The sequence below is a fragment of the Homo sapiens genome, chromosome 10 (assembly GCF_000001405.40).
Source record: "Homo sapiens chromosome 10, GRCh38.p14 Primary Assembly".
Taxonomy (NCBI): Eukaryota; Metazoa; Chordata; class Mammalia; order Primates; family Hominidae; genus Homo; species Homo sapiens.
Genome location: NC_000010.11, coordinates 52,896,263 through 52,914,726, shown reverse-complemented (window position 1 = coordinate 52,914,726; position 18,464 = coordinate 52,896,263). Strand labels below are relative to the sequence as shown.

Here is an 18,464-nt window from a genome sequence, read left to right as displayed (position 1 = left end):
GAAAGTTCTCTCCAAAAAGATGTAACTGCATTCATCAGCATGCTTTGAGTATTCTTTTTTTTTTTTTGGCTCCATATTTGTAGTTTTTCTTGTTTACCTTCCTAACATGGTGCTGTTTTCCTCTCCTTCTATCAGTGGCTCTTTCTTTCAAATAACTCTTTAAAATCCATCCCCTCAAGTCACAGTGTTACCTCCAAAATCACTGGCTTCTTCCATGAAAATACATTATTGAGGTACTCATGACTTTTTTTCTAAATTCCTACTTTTAAAATTGATTTTTAATATTACTACTTTTACTACAAATCTATCATCATAAAGAGAACCTCTCCCAGACTCAATTTCTTCACCATTCTCCTCACACTCTTCCCCCCAAAAATGGTGTGATTTGCCAAGGGATCTTAAGGTTCCTTACAACTCTACGATTATATGATTCTTTCACTTTTGGTAGGCTTTTGCTCCCAAAAAACTCAACAAATTTTACTGATGAAATTGTAGTGATTTGCTGAAAAAAAAAAATTGAACCTGAAGAAAATTATGGGATTTTCTAGATTGATATCCATAGTGGAATGTAGACTAGGAAGATAACATCACACAATTCATGTTTCCTCTAGAGGCCCTTTGCCAGGCTTTTAAATGGCCAGTGTGCTACATATAGTAATAACTCTTTAACCTTGGCTAATGCCTCCTATTAATCCATTACATTGGCTGTTGGCTTCAGAAAGGCAAGTACATCCAAAAATATAACAAGGTTAACTGTGCAATTATTCAATACAATTTATTCTAATAAATATTATGAGACTATAGAACAACAACAACAAAAAAAACAGATGGCATACACTTGAGTATATTACAGATGTTTAGGCAGATTAAAAATAGCTGTAGCCTATAAGCTACCCATGTGTGAAATATTTGTCCCAGACAACCACTACCCTTATACTAAGCCCCCAAAAATGTCCATTTACTATTATAGAACAAAGTTTGCAGAGTCAACTTTAATGGTCATATCTAATCACACAATATAACAGAATTGTCTCCTATTTTTAAAATAAAAAATCATTAATTTAACTTTGCCTTATTAAAAAGCATAGGGTATACCATAAAAGGAAAAGGATCATGTGACTTTTTATATATATATATGTATTTCAAAATATGTTTCCTATTAAGAAATCTTCAAACCTATAAACCCAGTCCAATCCAGTAATTAGTGCCTCCAAATAAATATGACTCATTTTCAGAAGAAACTTTGGTTATTATGTTTATTCCTTCTTACTTTACCTTACACAAACATTCCTTGTAAAAATTAAGCAAATCTAATCATGTCATTGGTTTTCTTTTCATCTCTATTTCGTGGTTTTGTTTGTTTGTTTGTTTGTTTGTTTTTGAGACAGAGTCTCACTCTGTCACCCAGGCTGGAGCACAGTGGTGTAATCATGGCTCATGGCTCACCCTAGCCTCAACTTCCTGGGCTCAAGTGATCCTTTCACATTAGCCTCCTGAATAGCTGGGACTACAAGCATGCACCACCATGCATAGCTAATTTTAATTTTGTTGTTGTTGTTGTTGTTGTTGTTGCTGTTTTTTGTAGAGGCAAGGTCTCATTATGGTGCCCAGGATGGTCTTGAACTCTTGGGCTCAAGAAGTCCTCCCACCTCTGCCTCCCTGTGAACAACCTTACCTGGCCTATTTCCATTTCCACCTCCCAGCCCCTGACAACCACAATTATATTCCTTGCTTATATGAGTTTGACTGTGGCATTGATCTAGTCTTAAAGGGGGTTCTTTCCAAGAAGCAAGTATGAGTTAAGTTTTGCTTTTTGTTGTTGTGTGTTACTGGAGTTTTTTGGTATTTTTCTTAAACAGGTTTATTGGAGGACTCTCTGGTTTGGAAACATAAAACAATGTAGAGCAAGTCAATTAATGAACTTTACCAACCAGCAAATAATGTTTTTTTTTTGGTACCTGCTACTTCCTTCTAAATAAATGGGTACCTCTTTTTTTTTTTTTCCCAACACTGAGTATTTCTCTGTTGCCCAGGCTGGAGTGCAATGGCGCGATCTCAGCTCACTGCAACCTCTGCCTCCTGGGTTCAAGTGATTCTCCTGCCTCAGCATGCCGAGTAGTTGGGATTACAGCTACCACCACCACACCCGGCTAATTTTTGTATTTTTAGTAGAGACGGAGTTTCACCATGTTGGCTAGGCTGGTCTTGAACTCCTGACCTCATGCTCTGCCTGCCTTGGCCTCCCAAAGTGCTGGGATTACTCATTAAGAAGAAATAAACTATTTCATTGTCATTTTCACCAGTCAAGCAGGAATCAACGGCTTTCAAACATTATGTATCTTCAGAAATGGTTTTAAATACATTAAGGATATTTGGATAACAACCCTATGTTGTTATCCTCCAGCAGTGGAGACAATTACTTAAAAGTATATATATGTATCATGGGATATTAGAAAAAAAAAGCCAAACTCTCAGAAAGAACTGTGTTGGAACTATGAAAAATAGCCCAAAGTGTACAGTAACCAAGCTAATGCTGAATCAAGGGAAAAGTGACTTAATCGTGGCAGAACTTGGCTACATTTTCTTTGGCCAAGTTCCAGCACCCTCCATGGATTTGTGGTGGTCTTAAAACAAAAGCTTACATTCTCATTGTGGGTTCAAGACTCCAGCAGGAGCAGAGCAGAACTTTGTCTAATGTAATTATGTTTTTCTGTTTTGACCTGTCAGGGAGCTCCCTGAGGGACTAAGGTAAAACACTCTCTTTTGTTTTGCCTATTTCAGAACTTTCTCAAGGTAGAAAACTGGCTGTGCTGAGGGCATTTCTCAATAACACTGAAAGGCGAATAAACAAGCCACTGCTAACTTTGTAAACAGATTAGAGTTGGGGCAAAAAAGAGTTCTGTTAAGAAATGGGCAAAGAGGCCAGACGTGGTGGCTCATGCCTGTAATCCCAGCACTTTGGGAGGCCAGGTGGGTGGATTCCTTGAGCTCACGGGTTTGAGACCAGGCTGGGCAGCATAGCAAGACCCTCCTGTCTCTATAAAAATAATAATAAACTAATTAGATATGGGCAAAGAACTGGAATAGATATTTTCCTAGACATAAAAATGGCACACAAGCACATAAAAAGATGTTTAACCTTGTTAATTGTTAGAAAAGTGCAAACCAAAACCACAATGAGATGCTATATCACACCCACTGGAAAGCCTAGAATTAAAAAATAAAAGGTGAACAGTGAGTATTGGCAAGGATGCGGGGAAACTGGAACCTTCATACACTGTTGGTAGAAATGTAAAGTGGTACAACCATTGTGGAAGACAGTTACATGGTTTCTCAAAAAGCCACAGAATTGCCACATGACTCAGCAATTATATTCCCAGTTTATAATCAATAGAATAGAAAACAGGTTCTCACACATTTGTACACAAATGTTCATAGCAGCACTATTCACAGGAGGTAAAAGGTGAAAACAACCCAAATAAACAAAATAAGGTGTATCTATAAAATGGAGTATTATTCAGCAATAAAAAGAAAGTTCTGATGCATGCTACAATGTAGATGTATCTCAAAAACGTGCTACCTGAAAGAGGCCACAAACAAATCAAATATTGTACAATTGTATTTATATGACATCTAAAGAAGATAAAACCATAGAGACAGAAAGCAGATTAGTGGTTTCTAGGTGAAAGGGGGTAAGGGGGATAGGGCATTATTACCTAACGGATATGAGGTTTCCATTGGGAATGATGAGAATTCCCAATGGAAACTGGGACTAGAATTGATGAGAATTCTTTGGAGCTAGACAGAGGTAGTAGTTTCACAATATGGTTAATGTACTAAATACCACTGAATTGTACAGGGTAAATTGGTTAATTTTTCATGTAAGTTTTACTCCAATTTTTAAAAATGTATATGATATGGCATGAAGCTGTTTAACATACATCTTGAGAGAGGACCATGTAATACAGTTGGCAAACAACATAAGAAAATACATACTTTCAAATATATTAGAAATTTCAAACATTTGTACAGTTTGGAAAGGAGGACAGCCAAGTTAACTAGAGTTTATTCTGAGTATAGAGATAGTGAATATTGGTTTTCCATTAGCTGATACCAGGTTTTGCTCTGGTTAAAAAAAACAACAGCAATATTTCAGGCTTACAATGACAATATTTCTTGCTTACATATATGTCAGCTGATATTTGACTTCAGGTTGAATCTATGTCATTTATATTCTAGGGTTGAGGCTGAAGAGGCAACTTCTTTTTCTATCTTGTGGCAGAGGAAAAAAAAATGGCAAAACCAATCTAGGCTTTCAAACTTCTGCTCAGTTATGGCATATATCATATCCACTCACTTTCCATGGCCAAAGCAAATCATGTAGACAGGAGTGATGTCAATGGAGTGAGAAGTTTATGCTCCCTCTGTGAGAGGCACTGGAAAACACATGTCAATGAGTGAGGATGTACAATCCTATTACAAGGACAGATAAAACCTGGATATTACACGTAATCCACCATTTTAAAGGATGAGTTGTGGAAAGAACAAAGGAGAACTTACTGACAATATATACAGCAGGCATCTCTAGGTCCAAAGATATGAACGTTTTTCCCCTTAGCCTGGGAGATATTCCCAAATCGTCCTGTAAAAATGTAATAATTTACTTTCCCACCAGAAATGCATGTAAGACCTTTCCAACAATGACATTATCAAACTTCATAAATGTTGACAATCTGATTAATAAAAAAATTCATCATTCTTATTTTTCTTTTTTGATTAGGAGAGAAGTTGGACATTTTATGTTTATTGAACATTTCTTTTTCATAATTTATGTACTGCCTGTTCAGGTAGCTGACAAAGACTCATATTTTAAAATGATCTGAGAAGTGAGCCAAGCTGTTAAAATTCTCTTCTGTCTGATAAAAGTCAGATCTGAGGTTTAGCTAGTGTAGCTAAGGCCATAAGCTACGTAAAGTAAAAGGATTCTGAACATAGGGATTATGCTTGTACCAGAATTTATTCTGTCTCCTTAATTAAAATATTTTAAGTACTACCCCAACAAAGATTTATCTACCAGAAATGGGAAGAATTTATTTTGAAGGGAAGACTAGGTTCCATAGATTTTGAAATATTAAGTCACGGGCCTGTAGTATTTTGTCCAACCCCAAAGAGGGGGCAAAGATTCCCTGGTCTTGGGCTAGCGTAACACACATCTCTTATGTCTGAGAAAATGCAACCACTCTGCAGCATTCTTCCCAACATTCTTTCATATTTCCTCTGCTACAACATTTCCTAAACCATATCCCATAGAATATGAATTTCAATAGATATCATGAAGGAAAAATGGATGGAAGAAAAAAATGTGTTTTAATAAATGTGTGAAATACTGCATACTGAATCCCGCCCTCAAAGAACAACTGCTTAGCTGTGCGATATAGTCTGAATGTTGCTCTGCCAAAATCTCATGTTGAAATTTAATTCCCAGTGTTGGAGGTGGGGCCTGGTGGGAGTTGTTTGAATTATGGGGGCAGATTTCTCACGAATAGCCTAGCACCATCCCCCTTGGTACTGTCCTCTTGACAGTGAGTTCTCATGTGATGTGGTCTTTAAAAAGGGCCTAGCACCTCCTCGTCCTTCTTGCACCTGCTTTTGCCATAATTGTAAGCTTCCTGAAGCCTCCCTAGAAGCCAAGATTATGCTATCACATGCTTCCTGTAAAGCATACAGAACTGTGAGCCAATTAAATCTTTTTTCTTTATAAATTACCCAGTCTCAGGTATTTCTTTACGGCAATGAAAGAATGGCCTAATACACTCTGTAAGCTTCACAAGTTATCTGGCCTCCGTTTCCTCCTGTGGACAATGAGCGTAATATTAGTACGCCCCTGGCAGAGTTCCTCATGAGTGTTAAACAAGGCAACACAAGCTAAGCCCTGTACCTGAGGCACGGTAGGCACTCAGTGAATTTTCATTCTTATTTTGATGGCTGTTACATTAGCATCTAAAGGCTCTAAAAAACTCTGTAGTAGATAAACCTGTTTGGCTTTGTCCAGCCAGCTTTCCTCAAATAATCTGACACCTGAGGAATTGTTTTTCTCACTCAGCATCTTGCACTTTGGGAAATGCGATCTGTTTCCTTTTATCTAATGCCTGAATCAGCAAACGGAGAGAAGTAGGAATGGAGAGACAGAATGGTCATGCTTCAGATTGGTAAGGAAGTTGACTTGTTCTCTTATTTCAAGTTCTCCCACGAGTGTCAACCTGAAGAATTGCCCCGATTCTGTGCTACAGATCACCACAAACAGTTGACACAACTTGTCCAAAAGCAATGCCAAACTTTGTAATTATCTGTGTCTGCTATAAAGCAGTAGAAGAAAAAAATACTCTATTCCTTATTTTCCATATTCCTCCTATTATGCTAAGAGATCATTTTTCTGTGAATACTTTTGAATAACAAATAAACCTGCTGGAAGATTTCAAGAAAAGGAAGTCAGTTCTTTCTCCTGTTATAAATAAGGCACAAATTTCTATTCTCCAAGGATATAGTCCAATTTCTCTTTATTTAGAATTGAGGATAGTATTAAACATAATATATATTTCCTGATATTAATAGCTACTTTGTGGAAATTCTTGTGTAAAATACAGAATTGCTCTCCTTAGGTGCTGTTGCTGATATGGTTTAAAAGCATTAGTTTCCCTTAACGAGAACAGCATCCCCGAAACTCTGCAGCTGGAGCAGCTGTCAAAATCATAGTTCTTTCCGTCTAACAAAGCTAACCTGATACCTAAGAGCTTTCCCACCCCTTACCATAATGGAGCTATTTAGATACTTGGCACTTTGGAACAACCATTTACCCATAAAAAAGCTGCATTTTATATTGTATCAGAAAGTACATAAGGCCTGGCATGGTGGCTTACACCTGTAATCCCAGCACTTTGGGAGGCCGAGGAAGGCAGATCACCTGAAGTCAGGAATTTGAGACCAACCTGGCCAACATAGCAAAACCCCGTCTCTACTAAAAATACAAAAATTAGCCAGGGTGGTGGTGCATGCCTGTAATCCCAGCTACTTGGGAGGCGGAGGCAGGAGAATCGTTTGAACCCAGCAGGCAGATGTTGCAGTGAGCCGAGATCACACCACTGCACCCTAGACTGGGCGACAAAGTGAGACTCCGTCTCAAAAAAAAAGAAAAAAGGACGTAACTAAAATGTAAATGTAAATTAATTTAATGAGGATTTTAATCTACCCACACTATAGAAAGTATCTAGCAAGTAACTTTTTCATTCTGCATATTTAATAGTAAGTGAAAATTCAAGTTATATTAAGCATTGCAGCCCAGAAAACTATGTTTAACAGCTTTCAACATTCCTAAAAGGTAAAGATGCCCTGCTTATAACATATGAGGAAAGAAAAATAGCTGAGAGCATTCTGAGGTCTGTGAGGTATTCAAAATTTATCAGGCCCATAGAGGCTGGTCACGCCTGTAATCCCAGCACTTTAATAGAGGCTGAGGTGGGTGGATCACTAGAGGTCAGGAGTTCAAGACCAGCCTGGCCAACATGGTGAAACCCTGTCTCCACTAAAAAATACAAAAATTAGCCCAGCTTGATGGCGGGTACCTGTAATCCCAGCTACTCAGGAGGCTGAGGCAGGAAGAATTGCTTGAACCGGGGAGGCTGAGGTTGCAGTGAGCTGAGATCATGTCTCTGCACTCTAGCCTGCGCGACAGAGCGAGACTCTGTCTCAAAAAAAAAAAAAAAAAGAAAGAAAGAAAGAAAGAAAGAAAGAAAGAAAAAGAAAAGAAAAGAAAAATTAGGTGACACCACTTTTCCAAGAAACCCTAGTCTAGCTGAGAGCATTCTGAGCTCTGTGAGGTATTCAAAATTTATACGGCCCATAGAGGTATGAGTACAGAACTTTTAATTGTGCTAAGAAATCACCTTTTTTCAGGAATCATGATTATTCCACCTCTTTGTTAAAGAAACTCATAAAAGTAACATCCCCAAACCCCCTTGTGTGCAACTCTCTTGAGTATACCAACACTCCCCTTTCTTGAGTGTGTACTTTTCATTTCGCAAGAAATCTCTATACTTTCACTATTTTCTGAATCACTCATGAATTCCTGCTTGAGATGATGTCAAAAGCCTGGACACCCATTGGAATCAAGGTCCCACTGGTGTTTGGGAACTTTCCAGAGCCCACTGGTGTCAGTACAACAAACTGTTTTAAAACTCTCAGTATTTCATCATTACTTAACCAAGTAAAATTCAAACTCCTTATTTGCCATACGAGTTTTTTTGTGACTATTTGCCTCCATTGTACCTCCCAGAATCATCTTTCAGCACTTTCCTCTAGCATTCTCCTTTCCCTGCCTTTTGCTATGCCTGGAATATTCTCTATCCTACTTCTTCTCATGACTAATTCCTACTTACTAGCTAGGAACCACCTACTACCTCAGATCACTTCCTCCAGAATTATCTCTCTCACAACCACTCTAGGCTGGGTATCTATCCTTCCTGACTTGGCACTGAGTCAGCACTCAAATTCTATTTAATGAGTAAATCATTGTATGAACAAATGAGAATATGATTGTATTGAGTAGCTAAAATGTGAACTGGATAATAAAAGAGTAATGGAGAGCCCATGTTTTTATAGGAGACATTAAGTTTTACTAAGAAAAAACAGCAGGACTCAGACTGAACCCTCTAATTTGCCTCCTTTTAAAATAGCCTCCTAAGCCTTCTTGTTTTCAGAATTATTTCACAGAGTTTTATTCATGAACATTGATGCTATTGCAGCCAAAGTTCCTTGACTTCTCTGAAAATGCTTTTTATCTGGAACCAAAAAGCATCCAGGTAAATCCAAATCTCCAGAAGCTTCACCCAAATGTGCTTCTAGAGTGGAGCTGAGATCTGAGGCAAAATCACGGTCATCTTTGTACTAAGAGCCAACTGGGGCCCAAAGGTTTCTTTCCCAACATCCAACCACCCTGATCAAGTGAGAAGGGAGTGGCCATGAGAACAGGGATGAGTGCCTCCTCCCCTCGACCCACACACTCTCAGAACATTGCACAGCCTTTGGACATAGGGGCAATAGCTCTTTTAAAGCACAAAGTTTCAGGCTACCTTAGATTTGTCTATTAATATATTCTAGGCCAACTGTGAAGCCTTCTGCAAGCCACAAAATCCTCCCACTGTCAATATTTCCATACATAAAATAAAGGAGGCTGCTACCATACCTACCTCATTATATTGTTGAATGGTTTATAAAGATGCTCAGTGGGATTTCTTTAGTACAGTACTCCTACCACAAAATAAGTGCCCATTAACCAACAGCTAATATTTTTATTTAAATAATTTCAAATTTCTTTTGGAAGGAAGAAAATAAAGCAATAAAAGATAAAACCACTCTAATCATTTTTTATTTTTGCATAAGAAAATTATTATTTGTGTGTGTTTCTAGACTCAAATTGCCACCTTTTATAGAGACACCAGTAATCAGATTAGGGGCTCACTCCTCATATCAATGAATTATATCTGCTATAACCCTATTTCCAAATAGGGTCACATTTCCCATTAATCAGAATTAGTGACATTTTGCCATCAAATTTATATTTCCTGTTCAGAGTGGTGGCTATACGGCAGCATACTGATACCACTAGAAAAATAAATGCAATAATACTGTAATAATAGCCACTACCATTTATTAAGTACTAGCTTTGTGTCAGGAACCGAACACAGTTCGGACTGAAATAGAAATTTTTATCTTCACGTGAACTTTATATATAAACAGACTCCTGAGCCCCAGAGCAAGAGATGGGCTATACTAGCCTCTTTACTTCCTGCTCACACTAGTGAAGGAGGTGGCTTCCCTTTTGGTCCCTCACCTTTCCTGCCCATTCCCCTGCCCCAGTACTGCCTCCTCAAACTTCTCCTTAGCTCCTATTTTATTTCTCCTTTGCTTCTGCAAGAAGGAGCCAAGCCCTGCTGCTTACTTTAGGACAGCCCCTCCATCTTCTCAACGATATAGAACATTGACCAGACCTGTAAGAGTATTTATTTATTGTATTCAACACAGAGTAGGCTCTTCATAAAAATTTGCTATTTTGAATTGCCTTAATCAAATTGTTCCCATAGATAATTGGTTCCAGCTTCAACTTAAAGAGTTAGCTATAATAATAAGACACAACAAGTCTTTAAAAATTAGAAACAATAAGATCCTTTGAAATCTTGATCTGAAAGTGCACAGGATCATTTAATCCAGTTCATTTATTGTATAGATTTTTAATAAAAGAATGCCATTGAAGTTACATAAATGGCTTAATATTTAACAAATAGTTATTACCAAACCCACCAAAGGAAAATCTATTCACAAATATCTGTGAACTAATGAATGATTACTCATTAGACAATGTGATAAATTCTGTTCTGCATGGTGAAGTAATAGGCCACTTCCCATCTCTATCCCTGACCTAATATAATAATTCTTCATTAAACTGTTTTTCTAATAGGAAGCACTTTAATTTAAAATGTTGTTAGATTTCAAGGCCTATGGATGGGGCTTGTGAAATGCCAACATCAGACCAATTTCAGAACTCTCCAAATAACACTGAGAGTACAAGTCAATCTTGAGCAACCAAGGATCTTAAAAAAGAAGGAGTTATGCTGTGTTGTTACAATGAGTTTTAAAATGGCCCTAAAATTTGAAGGCGTTGCTTATAATCCCCAATATGTTTGTTGTAGTTAATGAGCCAAAATCTAATGAAATGCCTATGAATTATATTGGTATCCAAATTCCCAGTGAAATCTGAAATTTTCTTCAATTTCCCGAAAATGTTTGTTCCTCTTTTGTCCATTCCTCCAGGACACAGTTCAGTCAGCAGTAAAGCCGTGAACACAGAAAATACATAAATATTTTGGAAAACAAATGTGAACTGAGTTTCAGCAACAAGTTGTCTAATGCTGTCTCCCACCCGCAGGAGTGAGTGGGACAAAGAAACCACTTAGCAAAGAACTAAGATGTTTCACATGCTAATTAAGGGCTCTGTTAGTGGCTTGACATTCAGTGATGAGATGCATATTTAAACCCCTTTGGTTTCTGCTTCTAACTGTGACAAGATTAGATAAACATCTTACTTAAATGTTAATAAGAAATTATTTTAGTTCAGAGCTTTAATGTTTCATGTGTACTGTGTATATGAAATTTGAACTTAATACATAATTGACAGGTTGCTCCTCCACTCCAAGAAGTAGATTAAAACTTAAGAAAAAATTACCTTAGTAAAATTTTTGATCTTGGCTTTAAGCAGATTTAGCTCATTTTATTATTACTAAGTAGACTTTCATTTTTGCAAAAATGTAGGTAAACAGAATTATTAGGGTCTAAGCTGGATGATCCAAATACTTTTTTAAAAAGTATGACTGTAACAAAAACTACAAATGATTTGACCTGATTTAATGAAAGCATAAAAAGTTATTAAAGCTAGCAAATAACAAAAGTAAACATTAGCAAATATACAATAACTACTATGAAGTAATTAAGTGTAGGCATAGTGTTCTTCTATTAGATGTCTGAAAATTACCTACATCAGAATCACCTGTTTTGATTTTCTCAACTATAAATACCTGACCCCCACCTTCCATGTCTTACATCTCTGACTTTGTAATCTGCATTTTTAATAAATTCTCCTCAAATTAAAAACCACTGTTTTTTTATAACCACTTTAACAAAGGGACATAAATCATCATTTCCCTATTTACCCACGTACATTCAATCTTTTCCTGTCCTTTCCTTTCCTTTCTTTCTCTCTCTCTTTTTTTTTTTTTTTGCCTTGCTCTGTTGCCCAGGCCAGAGTGCCATGGCACCCTCTTGGCTCACTGCAACCTCTGCCTCCTGGGTTCAAGTGATTCTCCTGCCTCGGCTTCCCGAGTAGCCGGGATTAAAGGCATGCACCACCACACTTGGCTAATTTTTGTATTTTTAGTAGAGACAGGATTTCACCATGTTGTCCAGGCTGGTCTCAAATTCCTGACCTCAAGTGATCCACCCACCTTGGCCTCCCAGCATGCTGGGATTACACGCATGAGCCACTGCACCCAGCCAGTACATTCAATCTTAATGTCCAGTAAAAGATTTTACTTTTAAAGGAGAAAATTTATTTTATCCTATTGCTCTACAATACCTTCCTGTACAAAGTAAAGGAAAAACTAGTTTAAATAAGAAGGACATTTTAATATGTATTGTTGTACTTTCTAATGCATCAACTTGTTCATTTATTTACAAATATAGAATGGGGAAAGCAGAGAGGAAAAGAATGGGAGGCAGAAATACTTTTATTCAGATCTTTACCTATACCAAAGTTATTTGGCTCATAGAAGAGAGTCTGTAGATGATATCTTTGGAAGGGTATGTTCTATCACATAGGAAGAATGAGATGGATGGAATAAATGTTCTAAATATTTTGGAGCAATTGCAAACTACTTATCCTAATACTTAATATGATCAATGTTTATTACAAAAGAATGTGAAGTCATTAGTGGAATAAGTGGAAAAGTGCAATGGGTAGAACCCTGTTTCCCCTCTGGAATCCTACAGAACTCAAATACAGTACAGCAGTTCCTCAAATAATGTTGTCTCATTCAAGGTTGTTTTGATATAATAATGATGAGGAAAAAAATTGATTCCTAGCAGGAGCCACTGTCTGTGTGGAGTTTGCACATTCTCCTTACGTCTTCATGGGTTTTCTCTGAATACACCAGTTTCCTTCCACATTCCAAAGATGTGCCTGTTAGGTTCACTGACATGTCTATGTGGTCCCAGTCTGACTGAGTGTGTATGTGTATGTGAGTGCACCCTGTGATGGGATGGCATTCTGTCCAGGGTTTGTTCCTGCTTTGGCCCTGAGCTACCAGAGCCTCACGACCCTGAGCTGGAGTAAGCAGGTTGGAAAATGAATGAAGGAAGAAATGAATACAAATTATTGTCAAATCAAAATTCATTAAGACTTGATAATCATGCAAATGTGCAACAATAAATGATAAGGTATGAAAGTGCTCAGCTCACCCACTGAAGTAGTGAAGGACTTGCCATCCCAAAATATGCTGAATTGGTATATTGATTATTCTGATTTGAAAACATTGGAGAAATTATAGTTTCAGAAAGGGGAGGTAACCTGTCTCTTCCTGCATGTAGCAAGCCATAAAGAATCCTCTGGGAGAGATGCCCTTCCCCACCAGGGTGTAAAAATAGCCCTTACCAGGGTGTGAAAATAGCCCTACTAGAAACTGGGAATTGGAAGATGCAGTAGACCTGAATAAATATACTTAATAAAGTAACACTTACCTTCCACTACACCCCTCCCTCATGTATCTCCTAGTGATTTCCCTAAAAATGTACTGCTTCTAGACAGATCTCTTTTTTCCCTGTCATTTCTTCTCAAATTTATTGTTCTTTGTCTAAAAAGGATAAAAGCATCATCCTTTGGCCATCTTTGGACTTCACTCGTGAAGATCCCCATATACATGTAAAACTGATAAAATTTGTATGTTTTCCTCTTGTTAATCTGCCTGGTGTCAATTTGGTTTCTTGATTCAGCCAAACAGCCCACATAAGAGATAAAGAGAGGTGATCTCTGGGTCTCCTACAGCAGTATTTGTTCTTGTTTGCTTTTGAACTGCATAGTGGGAGGAGAATTTCCCTGCAATTTTCATTTTGCAAACATTTATTCTTTGATTTAACCCACCACCACTACGACCACCATCACTCACTGATTCACCAAAAGCTGGCAGCAAGTTAAATAATGATTGTGTTTGTTTTTATTAACCTTTCTTAAATGCATAGTGAAATGTATACTGAAACAGGCCCAATTGTCTCATAGAACGAATATTTATGGGTTTCTAAAAATAAACATAGAAACTGACCCTCCCTGACCCTAAAACATGAAACTTACATTTGTCTCACCTGAGTTTCTTCCTCAAAACTCACTCTCAGGCAAGAAATTGAAACTTATCAGATTACATTCAGTGAGCCACCAGACCCCTCATACATCAGGACTGCTTTCTTATCCCTCCTTAATTCTTGTTTTCCCACTTCCCCACTATATAAACCCCCCAAGTTGAGCTGGTTTGGGAGATGAATTTGAGACGTTATCTCCCTTTCTCCTCAGCTACGGCACCTGATTAAAGCCTTCCCTGGCAGTACTTGTCTCCGTAACTGTCATTCTGTGTGGTGAGCCTGATATTCTGATAACAATAACTCACGTCTATTTCAATATTTAATATTAGACGTGCTTTGGATCTTTATTTAGATATTTGGTGGTGTTTTTGTGACCAGGAATATGCCATAAGAAGTTAAATGTTGTTTATATCAATGAACCTATGGTAACATTGCTTTCATCATACATTATTTCATTTAAAGTCACATTTTCCAGGAACCTATGGATGATGTTAAGTGAGAACTTACTGTATTACAAAGTTTGTGCCTCGTAGGCTTCAGTGCCAAGTGACAATCTATTTCTTATATCCATTAAATACACAAGTACATTAGGCAAAATTAGGTGATCTTATAACAAACTGTTTTATTAAGTTTCACCAATAAATTAAATATTGAAGGATAACTGTTCTTCAAACACAATCTTAATTTAATAATTTACTATTTACTAATTTGGAAAGTGATACATAGCAAGGAGTTGCTGGCCTAAATGGATGATTCTTAATTCTTCACATTACCATAACTACAAATTATTGTGATTGATCATCATGGGAAGGCTTTTATGATAGGAAAGTCTTTATGTAGAGAAATTTGCTTCTCACGGAGGCTCTTTTTGTTGGGGGCTGGGGATGGGAATACATTAAGAATTTTAAGAAATAGAAAGAAAAAAGTCTATTGTTATGACATTGCTTGCCAAGATATCCTAATGGTGAAAAAAATTAGTCCTGTGAAATATCTGGCAGGCAGGGCAAACAGCAAAAACTCAGAATTCAAAATCAGTAATGACTACCTCCGCATGAATAGAGCTTTCTAAAAGACTGTTATTTTTCTGTGCAACTAGGAAAAAAATTGAGTTTCAATGAGTTATGCTCTGGTGTTCTGGTGTCTCAGCACAATTTTGCTAATAGTGCAAAACCTGATTTTTTCACTTTAACACTTTCTACTGTGGCATAATCCACTGGGCATTTGGAATCATCTTAATTGATTTTAGTAATTTCAGAGTTAACCTCTCAATTGTGGAGAAACCAGACATTAATGTATGTACAAAATTTTGCACCCCACTCTGAGGCCAGTCAGCTCATGACAAATGGGCATAGAAATCATATTTCTATAGGAAATTCACTTTGCTTCCATGGGACTTTATTTCAGCATCCAAAGTTGAATTCCTATCATTTAAAAATAAATAAATAAAGCACACATCATTTAATGTAGAGCAAGACTAGAAATGAAATGGTTCCAAAGACATCCAAAAGCTCAGTAACTCTATTCCTATTCAATCATTTCAGGATCTACATAGTGATACATGAAAAACATGAAGTGGTTTAACACTGAAAAACGTATCATACAAATAGCATAATAGATTACTTTATTAAGCAACCCTACACATTTGGTGTTAGATCAAAGATTATTATATCACTGCATTATATCAATTGTTTTATAAAATTAAACAAAAAGTAAAAGTTTATCTTCTGGAAGTTGATTAAAATTTTAAATGAGATTTAAGCCTTTTTTCAGAAAACTGAAGAAAAACACAAACTGGATATCTGATTTATTATAAATTCAAACTGGTCTACATTAAATAACCATATGAATAAACACTGTCAAATATAATCACTCTCAACCTTTTATCTTCTACTTTTGTGCAATTATTTTTCTCATGGTAATCTTTTGTTGAATGAGACTCAAATTGGGTCTTAAGATGAAACTCAGCAAAAAAAGACAGCCCACCGAAGCAAAAATGTAATCAAGTCTAATGAGAACCTGCAATTCACTGGCCTTTCTCCTCTTCAATTCTACCACTCTATTAGTTTTAGAATTGCCACATCCAAAAGGAGAGTTTGGGCAAATCTGCAGTGTTCTCCTGTGTGTCCAGCAAAATGTGACTGGACTGACATAAAGTCCTTATCCTACTCAATATGAACATTCTAAAATTTCCCTGAAATATTGATAAGTTTGATTGTGGGTTATTGCTCTAGACCCAGATAATGATGCTACAGAATATATTGTATAAGTACCATGACATCCCTATAATCCATTCACAGAAAGAGCTGCAGTCTCCTGTAAATAGACTGATCAGAGAAGGGCTCTCTGAAATAACATTTAAGGTGCGAGCTGAAATGAGAAGAAATTAAAACCCTTCTTTGCATACAATCAACAGAGGCACAAGCATTCCAAATAGAGAGGACAATAATGTATAGGGACAAAGATGGGAAGAAATTTGAAATGTGGAAGGACACAAAGAAGACCATGGGACATAGTGAGCATGGTGGTGGGGGGCAGGTAAGAGAAGAGTTCAGGAAGAGAGGCAGGGACAGTCCTGCACCCCTGAAATCCAAGATGAAAACTGTAGATTTTTATGCTAAGTGCACTGAAAAGTATTTGGAGGTATTTAAGCGGTGGGAGAATATGAGTTGATTTACAATTTTAAGAGATAACTTTGGCGATTTGTAGTGAATAGGCTGTAAGGCGGCAGAAGTAGACAGAGGCAGGCAAGTTTAGAGGCTTTTTCTCTAGGAAAGAAAGGATGGTACAGTAATTGTATCAGGACTGTAGTAAGGATGCAAGTTAATGACTTAAAAGTGCAATCAACAAAACTTCATGGATTACACAGGAGAAGGCAGGTGGTGAGGGATAGAGATGAATGGACGAATGCTTGGGGAGGAATCATGAATTCTACTTTGGCTATTAAAAGTTTGATTTGTCTCTATCAAAATAGACATGTCAGGCTAGGAAGGGTGGCTCATGCCTGTAATCCCAGCACTTTGGGAGGCCGAGGTGGGAGGATCACTTGAACCTTGGAGTTTGGGACCAGGCTGGGCAACATAGCGAGACTTAGTCCCGACAAAAATTTTAAAAAATTAGCCCAGCGTGGTGGCACATGGCTATAGTCGCAGCTACTTGGGAGGCTGAGGCAGGAGTATCACTTGAGCCTGGAAGGTCAAGGCTGCAGTGAGCCGTGATGCCACACTCAAGAGCCTGGGTGACAAAGTGAGATCCTGTTTTAAAAAAAGAGAGAGAGAGCAATCAGTAGGCATTTTAATACACAAATATGGAGCCAAAGAGAGATCAGGAAGGAAAGACAGATTTGGCAGTCATAAGCTTATGGATGGTGGGTGAAGCTGTAGCAGTGTGTGGAATTCACAAGATGCCTCAGGGAAGGAATATAAACACAGAAATGAGGTTGTCTGGGATCAAGTCCTGACAGGCTTTAAAATTTATAAGTCAAACAAAAGTTAATGAGAAAGAGTAGCCAATAAGATATGAGGAAAAAAAAATAGAGAATAGTGTTGTGGAAACAAAGAGAAAAAGTATTGCAAAATGGTCAACTCTGGTGCTGCTTAAATTATCCAGTAATGAGGACAGTAAGGTGCTTAAAGGTTTTAACAACATTTACTATCATCTTAGACTTGGTGGAAGATTCATGAAAAGGAGAAAATACAGTTCATTTTCACAATTATAGGCTGCATCACTTTAATTGGTGAGTAGTATAAAATTCACAGCAAACTCCTAGGACACTTGCTCTGTCTGCTCCTAACTCTTCTCCGCCTAATGAATCCCCACACTCCTCCTGTCACCCTCAGCTTAAGCAGCCTCTAAGAAGCCCATCCTGACCAGCCAGAGGCCATTAGGTCCTCTGTTAAATGGAGATTGTACCAAAGAAAGGGCCATTAGGTCCCCTTCTTTGGAGATTGTACCTCTCCATCCTATCATTTAATTTGTCGTTTCAATTAGCTGTCTTTTCCTTTTAGGTTTAAATTTAGTGTGGAGGGGGTGCGGGGAGTGGGGACAGCTACATCTCTGCATCCACTATCTCCAATACTAGAAGGATGATAGGTGTTCAACAAATGTCTATAGAAAGAATAAATCTTTCTTTTAATACATAAACACTCTGCTGTGGCTGAAGGTGGGTAGAACTTGTAAAACTCAGACTGAAATAATTTTGGCATCATTGACTGGCTTTATGCTGAAACAACTTTATATTTAGATTTAACATAATCCCTGTATCTAAACTATATGCAATATAATTTGAAAGTTGCTAACATCTCCTACATAAAAATATTTACCAAAGTTATCTTGATATAGGGCTAAGCATTTCTCTAATATTAACTCCTTTCGCTTTAAAATTCTTCAACTTTTACAAATATTCCTTCAGAGAGGTCATATATTTAGTCACCCCAACCATGCTCACCTTAGTTGAAATTCATCAGAATGGTTCACAGGTATCTAGCAGTCATGTGACAACATGACATGGGATG

The 18,464-nt window shown here is 37.4% G+C and overlaps 3 annotated features.

Moving 5' to 3' along the window:
- Positions 10,572-11,338: an enhancer, noted in NCBI's record as "OCT4-NANOG hESC enhancer chr10:54663149-54663915 (GRCh37/hg19 assembly coordinates)". NCBI's record gives its function as "activates a minimal SCP1, AML or CMV promoter by ChIP-STARR-seq in naive H9 embryonic stem cells {active_cell/tissue: H9 hESC(naive)}" and the evidence as "EXISTENCE:reporter gene assay evidence [ECO:0000049][PMID:30033119]".
- Positions 13,825-13,984: an enhancer, noted in NCBI's record as "active region_3378". NCBI's record gives its function as "activates an Ori minimal core promoter by ATAC-STARR-seq in GM12878 lymphoblastoid cells {active_cell/tissue: GM12878}" and the evidence as "EXISTENCE:reporter gene assay evidence [ECO:0000049][PMID:35858748]".
- Positions 14,025-14,074: an enhancer, noted in NCBI's record as "active region_3377". NCBI's record gives its function as "activates an Ori minimal core promoter by ATAC-STARR-seq in GM12878 lymphoblastoid cells {active_cell/tissue: GM12878}" and the evidence as "EXISTENCE:reporter gene assay evidence [ECO:0000049][PMID:35858748]".